This window comes from Homo sapiens, chromosome 16, assembly GCF_000001405.40.
Source record: "Homo sapiens chromosome 16, GRCh38.p14 Primary Assembly".
NCBI classification, from domain to species: domain Eukaryota; kingdom Metazoa; phylum Chordata; class Mammalia; order Primates; family Hominidae; genus Homo; species Homo sapiens.
Window position 1 is genome coordinate 88,687,849 of NC_000016.10, and position 7,295 is coordinate 88,695,143.

General features: G+C 59.8%; 2 annotated features.

Moving 5' to 3' along the window:
• Positions 1,852 to 2,026: a silencer, noted in NCBI's record as "fragment chr16:88756108-88756282 (GRCh37/hg19 assembly coordinates)". NCBI's record gives its function as "represses an EF-1alpha promoter that drives an FKBP-Casp9 reporter gene in an ReSE screen in HepG2 liver carcinoma cells {active_cell/tissue: HepG2}" and the evidence as "EXISTENCE:reporter gene assay evidence [ECO:0000049][PMID:32094911]".
• Positions 4,041 to 4,090: a silencer, noted in NCBI's record as "silent region_7869". NCBI's record gives its function as "represses an Ori minimal core promoter by ATAC-STARR-seq in GM12878 lymphoblastoid cells {active_cell/tissue: GM12878}" and the evidence as "EXISTENCE:reporter gene assay evidence [ECO:0000049][PMID:35858748]".

Genomic DNA, 7,295 nt, shown 5'->3' on the forward strand with positions numbered 1-7,295 from the left:
GAGGTGGAGGCTGCTGTGAGCTATGATGACCCCACTGCACTCCAGTCTGGACAACAGAGCAAGACCCTGTCTCAAAAAATTAAAAAAAAACAAAAAAGAAGACCAAGGCTGTGAGAGGTTAGGACACAGTGGGATTGGGACCCAGCCACACTCCAGCTTGTCTGCCACTTGGTGAGGGGGAGTGGAAGGACAGGTGGAGGTGCCCCTGGAAGAAGGTGCCCGCCTCTCCTGCAAGCATGGCCTGGCACCACCACGCCGGGAGTGTAGATTTCAGAGGACACATGCCTGCCTTCTGCTTATTCACCTGTTCCTCGCCTGGAAAGGTTTCTATTTATAGCCTCCCTTCCTTCTCTCTCTCCCTCGCAGACACAGATAACGCTTGCAGATACCTGAGCCAAGCCTCCACCCACACCGTCCCTCCCCGCCCACCTACCCGTTGTGTGGCCACCCGCCAAGCCCCAGCAAGCTTATCTCCTAATCCCAGCTAGAGCCTGGTGTTACTCAGGGCTGCTGTAGCCCTCCCGAGGAGAATGGCTGATCTCATCCCGGGAACGCCCTAGAGGGCCTGCGAGCACCTTTGGGGTGGGGTCCCAGGGCTGCCGCAACAACTTGCCCCCCAGGGACACTCAAGTCGGCTGCAGACTCACTCTTCAGCTGTGATGCACAGGGCGGTGTCCAGGCTGGACCCAAGAAGGCCCCACAGAGGGAAACATCAGCGTCCCCCTTCCCACAGGTGCAGCCTCGGGGGTGGGGATTGGGGGAGGGCGGCCGTCTCCATCCTTTCCGTGTCTTCCGTTCCTCACTGCCGGCAGCTTGGCTCTGGGGGTTAAACTGACGTGCCCCTGAGTGGGGAAACCCACGGCCCACAGCCTGCTAGACCCGCCCTCCTGAACTGCAGCAGGCGACCCAGGTCCTTGCCCCCTTCCCTGGACATCTAGGACATCAGGATGATGACTTGTGCTGGGCCCGGCAGCCTGGCCCCTCCCATCTGCCTCCATCCGACACCCAAGAGCGGTTTTCCAGTGGGTAGCCCACCCCAAGAATTGCCGGTCAGGGCAAAAACGGTTAGAGTTCCATTTATGTTGACATTTTCATCCTTCCTACACGTATGTCTTCCTGCCTTTCTGGTTTTACAGTGACTGTAACCATAGTGTCTGGAGATGTGCACACAGGTATCCAACACGGTAGACATCTCTGTCACCATTGACTGTTGTTTGTTTTAAGATGGAGTCTCACTCCAACCTCCGCCTCCCAGGTTCAAGCAATTCTCCTGCCTCAGCCTCCCAAGTAGCTGGGATTACACGTGTGCACCACCATGCCAGGCTAATTTTTGTATTTTTACTAGAGACTGGGTTTCACCATGTTGGCTAGGCTAGTCTTGAACTCCTGATCTCAAGTGATCCTCCTGCCTTGGCCTCCCAAAGTGCTGGGATTACAGGCGGGAGCCACTGCTCGTTTTTTACTCATAGGGCTTTATGACCCAAACCTTGGAAACCCTCACTCCGAATTAGAACACAGTCCTTGAGAGCTAGACCAGGAGGGGCTCAGCCCTTGCTACCTGCACAATGCCCGCCTGTGGTCAGGTGCATGCTGGGGGTTCAGCAGGGCTTGTTGAACTGGATGGAAGAGAAGCAGGAGCTTGCAGACAGTGTGGCCTTTCTAGAGGCCCTGCCCCATGCTCTGGGGGCACGTAGGCCCTGTCTGTCTCGAGTGGAGACACTCAGGTGAAGACCCAGGCCCTCAAAGGAGAGTCTGGCAGCTGGGCCTTGCTTGTCCTTGGACTCAGAGAGATGGCCCCTCTTGTAGGAGCAAAGGCAGTTCATCGAGGCAGACATCCCATGCGGAGGCAGACATCGAGGGACAATCCCATGCGGCCCAAGGTCATGGGCCCATGGAAACTTGAACCCAGTGCTTGAAATCTCAACATCCAGCCAGACCGGGCGCCACTGTGTGCTTGGTCCCCCTCCGTGAAGGGGAACTCACTACTGTTTATGGCTGCCCACACCACCGTCTGAGGGCCGGATTGTCAGAGGGAGGGTGGTTTTTTGTTTTTTTGTTTTTTTTTTTGTTTTTAAGACGGAGTCTCACTCTGTCACCCAGACTGGAGTGCAGTGGCGTGATCTTTGCTCACCGTAACCTCCACCTCCTGGGTTCAAGTGATTCTCCTGCCTCAGCCTCCCAAGTAGCTCGGATTACAGGCATGTGCCACCATGCCTGGCTAATTTTTGTATTTTTAGTAGAGACAAGATTTCACCATGTTGGCCAGGCTGGTCTCCAACTCCTGACTTCAGGTGATCCACCTGCCTTGGCCTCCCAAAGTGCTGGGATTACAGGCGTGAGCCACCGCACCTGGCCAGGAAGGGTGGTTCTTAAGCTGGGGTTCAGTGGACACATCCTGTGTGATATGGGGGTTCTGAGAGGCAGACAGGGTTGTTTTCAGAGCCCCCAGCGAAAGTGGCTTTCAGTGCCAGTGCCAGGTGGCTGGCAGCCCTGTGCTCTTGGGAGATGAAGGGGATGGACATGGTATTTGCCGTGTGCCTTTCCCGGGATGTGTCGTTTGCCTGGCAGATGGCCTAATGCCTAGTTGTCTGACCTGCAACCATGAGTCCCCCCAGGAAACTTGCTCACACTGGCAGACGCCCCGTGGCTCCTGTCTGATTCACGTCCAGGTTATGCCTGCCTGACCATCGCTCTGGTGTTGGGAGCCTGCCCTCTGTCCCCCACGTCCCCGAGAAAACCCAGCCTGGGCAGCCCCTGGTTCTTCCTTGTGGAAGGTGCAAATTCAGTCCCCACTGCAGTAGGAAACATGTTCAAAGACTTACTACTCACAGGTCCTGGGCAGGGAGGGCGCCAGGAGTGGGAAGGGCCATCCTCCGTCCCCAGATCCCACAGGGCAGAAGTGAAGAGTCAGGCAGAGAGAAGACAGTGTGTGGTAACGGGCCGTATGCACAGGGAATGGGGAGTGGTCACTGCAGGTTCACAAGCAAATGCCTGAATGGTCTGATTAAAGGAAGTGCAGGGAGTGCGGGCAGCCCAGGCTCCTGGGTGGGAGATACGCCCCTAAGTGCTCATCTCTGGCCCCTGACATGGGCGGTTGAGCGTGGTGTCCTCCTGGTGCCCAGGCTGCAGGCTTGGCTGTGCTGCCCGTTAGAACAGTCCCTACCCACACCAACCGTAAGACACATGAAACTGCACAATGCCTCAGCACAGGCAAGGGAGAGTGACCGGTGCTGAGGGGAGCCCTTGGGCCTGCGGCAGATGAGGTGAGACTTGAGCCATCAAGCAGCGAGGCAGCGTGCGTGTGAGTCTGCAGGCCACAGGCGTGTTCGTGCGTGTGTCCATGGGCGTATGCGTGTGGGAAGTCGCAGTAGCTGCTCTGAGGTGACATGGAGGCTGGGCATCAGCGGGTAAGTCCCGGGCACCAGGAGAGGGATCTGTGGGGTCCCCGGCATCGTCCTGCCGAGTTGGATACCTGAGCTCGGTTCCAGCAACACCATCCGCTCTCTGCCAGGGTCCTTTGAGATTCCCACCTGCCGTGTGAGGGAGCTGACACCTTACTCGCGGCAGGCTGTGGGGCCACGCCCTGCAGCTGAGGGAAGGAAGAACTCAGGCCCGCTGAGTGTTCTTTTGTCCAGCCACAAAGGGAGCAATGCCTGCCGGACGAGGGGCTGGGGCCGCATCATGCCTGGGACCCGGATGAGCACTGTCCAGGGCTCCTGCGAACAGGGGCGGGCCTGGGACAGGGGGACCTGGGGTGGGAGACATAGGAGAGGGGACCCCTGGGGGAGAGGGACTTGGCATCCCTTCCGGATGCAGGCCAGCAGCAGGTTACACAGGCCCTTCGTAAAGGTGCTTTCTCTGTGGCCTGCGCCCTGGGTCACCCCATCAGCAGGGTCCTTGGAGCCCCAGTGCCTGCAGAAATGCCAGGGACAGCATTGACAGCGTGCTGACGGACAGCACCGTGGATTGAACTGTGTCCCCCTAAAAGATGCTGGGGTCCCCCCAACCTCTGGGCATGGGGCCTTATTGAAAATCGAGTCTTCACAGGTCCCATCAAGTCAAGGTCAGGCCATTAGGTGGGCCTTAATCCAAGGACTGGTGCTCTGATGAAAAGAGGAAGCTTGGATTCAGAGCGCAGGGGGAGGGTGACGTGCGGGTGCAGAGGAGTTGTGTGTTGACCACAGGAGCCAGCCAAGAAGCACCAGGCCGCTGCGGCCGCCCCCGGCCCCCACCCCTGCCCCATGGCACAGCCCGCCCACACCTGGGTACTAGACTTCCTCCTGAGCTGGCGACACTTAGACTCCTGTTGTGTTCGGCACCCCAGGGTGTGGCCCCTTGATACAGCGGCCCAGTAGACCCAGCGTCCAGACCGGGATGAGGCCACAGGCCCTGGCTTGCCCCTGATTCGAGGGACTCGTGGAAACAGGCCACTGCTGTCCATGCAGAACACACCCCAGTCCCCACAAACCCACAGCAGGTGCACTGAGGGTTCCGAGAAAAGCACCACGTGGGTGCCACTCCCGTTTCCTGGGGCTGGCGCCACAGCCGCTCCTCTCCAGAGACTCTGGGAAGCTCACACGGCAGACTCTGCAGGGGTTGCACTGGCCCCGGGTTCAGCATGCCATCCACCACTGGAAGAGCCCAAACCGCGGCCAAGACCAGGACTGCACGTCAGAGGGTCCGGGTGGGCTTCCAGCCAGGCTTCTACCTGCCGAGGCCCTGGCTCTGAGTGGGTGCCATGTGGAGTCTCCCCTTGCCCTGCAAAAATGTATCTCCAGCCAGCCACAGTGGCTCACGCCTGTAATCCCAGCACTTTGGGAGGCCAAGCTGGGCGGATTGCTTGAGGTCAGGAGTTCAAGACCAGCCTGGCCAACGTAGTGGAACCCTGCCCCTACTAAAGATACAAAAATTAGCCAGGTGTGATGGCGCGTGCCTGTAATCCCAGCTACTCGAGCGGCTGAGGCAGGAGAATTGCTTGAACCTGGGAGACTCCTTCTCAAAAGTATCTCTACTTGTGCCCGAGAGCCCACTGATAATTAGAGATGCATTCCTTAGGCTATTTTTGTCAAAATACCAAAGTGCCTTTGACATTGTGATGCCTTGCTGAGTGCATTTAGGCCTCTTTTTCCTAGAGTGAGTTTAGAGAGTGGCGAACCCTGGGGATGTGGTTATAGAAGGAAGGGCGGCGGAGGCAGCAACACCGGAGATGGCTTTTTCAGGCCATCCCTCGATGGGGCCGGGTCCTCCCAGGTGTTTCGGATCGGAGGAGGCTGACTGTAGCTGAGGGCACCCTCCCTTCCCACCTTCCTCCTCCCTGCATCACATCCTGGGCAGAGTTAGGGGTCCCCCATGGAGGCCTCTGGGGTTTTCCAGGTGGGCTGCCAAGTAGGTGCCCCGGCTGGACCACAGGGTGGAATGTCAGCCGGGTTTGCCTCTTGTTAGCAGGAGATTTGGGGCAGGTTTTCTGAATATCTGTTTTCATCCATGAAACAGGAAAAGTGGCTTCTGCTTCCTTCCCTAGGGCCTCAGGAGCCTAAACCCAGGTGGCCCCAAATTAGAGGAATCCTCAGGCACCACCCAGACGCACCCAGAGGATCCTGGGAGGGTCAGGCTGCTGCGGCAGGTGTGCTGGGCCCTGGGGTAGAGGAGTTGCAGCTGGGAGGCCCCTTATTGGAGGGAGCCCCCACCCCCTCCCCACCCCCGGCCACCGCGCACACCTGCAGTTCTGGAAAGGCCTGGGCTGAGTCTCGCGAACCACACCCTGCTGCCGCCGCCTTGGAGTACCCAAAATGCTGGTCGTGGCTCCTGAGATCCAGGTATAAGAATTATCAGCAGTTTCTTGGGGGCCCGGCCTGGGGCCAGGGGCTCTCCATTCCCACCTGACCCCTTTCTAATGGAGAAGTTCCCTGGTCCCTGAGACCTGGACGCGCTTTCTGGGGAGCAGGGTTCATGCTTCCCATGCAGCTGCATAACGTGAAAACAAGGGCATGCTGCCCCAAGTCTGCGACGGGCCTGGACCGCGCAGGGCAGGAGCCCCAGCTCCTCCAGGGCGAGCCACATCTGGCTTTGTGCCTCGCTGTCAGGCCCTGGTGTACTCCAGGGTGGGAGGGAGACCCAGGCTTCCAGGACTCTGCCTGAGCGCGGTGGGTCCACATCCGAGCTGCCGCGGCCCCGGTGGTCAGAGCGGGCGGCCCTCTGGCTCCGGCGCTGTGCACGCCCTCACACCCCGACGTGAGGGGCTTCGGCCCACTTCCCTCGTGTGGCCGTAGGAGGGGTCCCGGCCTCCCCACTTTCACTGGGACAGCCCCCACGGGTATCGGGGGTGCAGACATTTGGCTCTATCTAGGGCTTTGTTAACAAGAAAAATGGAGCAGGGGTCTTGCTCCGTGCCTGAGGTCTCGTCCCACCATGGCAGGATCTGCTGAGCTCTGACGGACCTGAGTTCCCCACTTTGCTGGGGTTCGTTCTGGAGTCCTCCCCTGGGCAGACTCTCCCAGACACCAGGTCACCCGAGAGGCGGCCGGGCCCGTGAGGAAAGCTGAGGCCGCACCTTCACCCAGACGCTGGCCTGTGGCTCTCAGCTCTCCTGTGGCCTCCATGAGGGGACCTGGTGGGAACAGGCCTGCTCCCTCCAGAATTGTGTGCAGGGACACAGAGAGTCCTGAGGAGGGGGTCCTGGGCTTCCTCTGACAGCCCTCCTGGGCACGGCAGCAGCGGGAGGCCTGGGTTCAACCAGGAGGGGACAGGGTTTTGCTTCCTCGGCATTCGCAGGTGGCACGGGGCTTGGGAGCAGGTGCTCGGCAGGGCTGAGAGTTCGGAGGTGGCCCAGGGTTTGGGAGCGGGGCAGGCCAAATGTGATGGGGACGGCTCCTTGTCTGGGCTCCGCTCTCTGTCCCCTCAGTCTGGGCACTGCTGGCTTGTAGGAGGCTTGTGGCTGCGGTTCAGTCAGGGAGGGAGGGCAGTCGCGTCGCCTGCGGCCAGCGGGACAAGCACACAGGGACAGGCTTCTGCCCCTTTCAGAGGCCGCAGTATGTTAAAACCGTTCCTATCCGTAGCATGAGCGTCAGTGGGCCCCCGGGGGGTCTTTCTCCTTCCCGCCCCGGGCCCAGTGCCTGCCCTGGCCTTGCTGAGTCCCCAGCACAGCGGTCACAGTGCGGTGCCAAGAGGGGGCCTCAGAGCTGAGGGTGACACAGAGCAGGGGGCCTCAGACCAGCCTAAGTCGGGATTCGTCCCCTGAGGCACCTGCCACGGAACTGGGGGCCTGGGGCAGAGCAGAGCAAGGGGAGGCAGTTCCC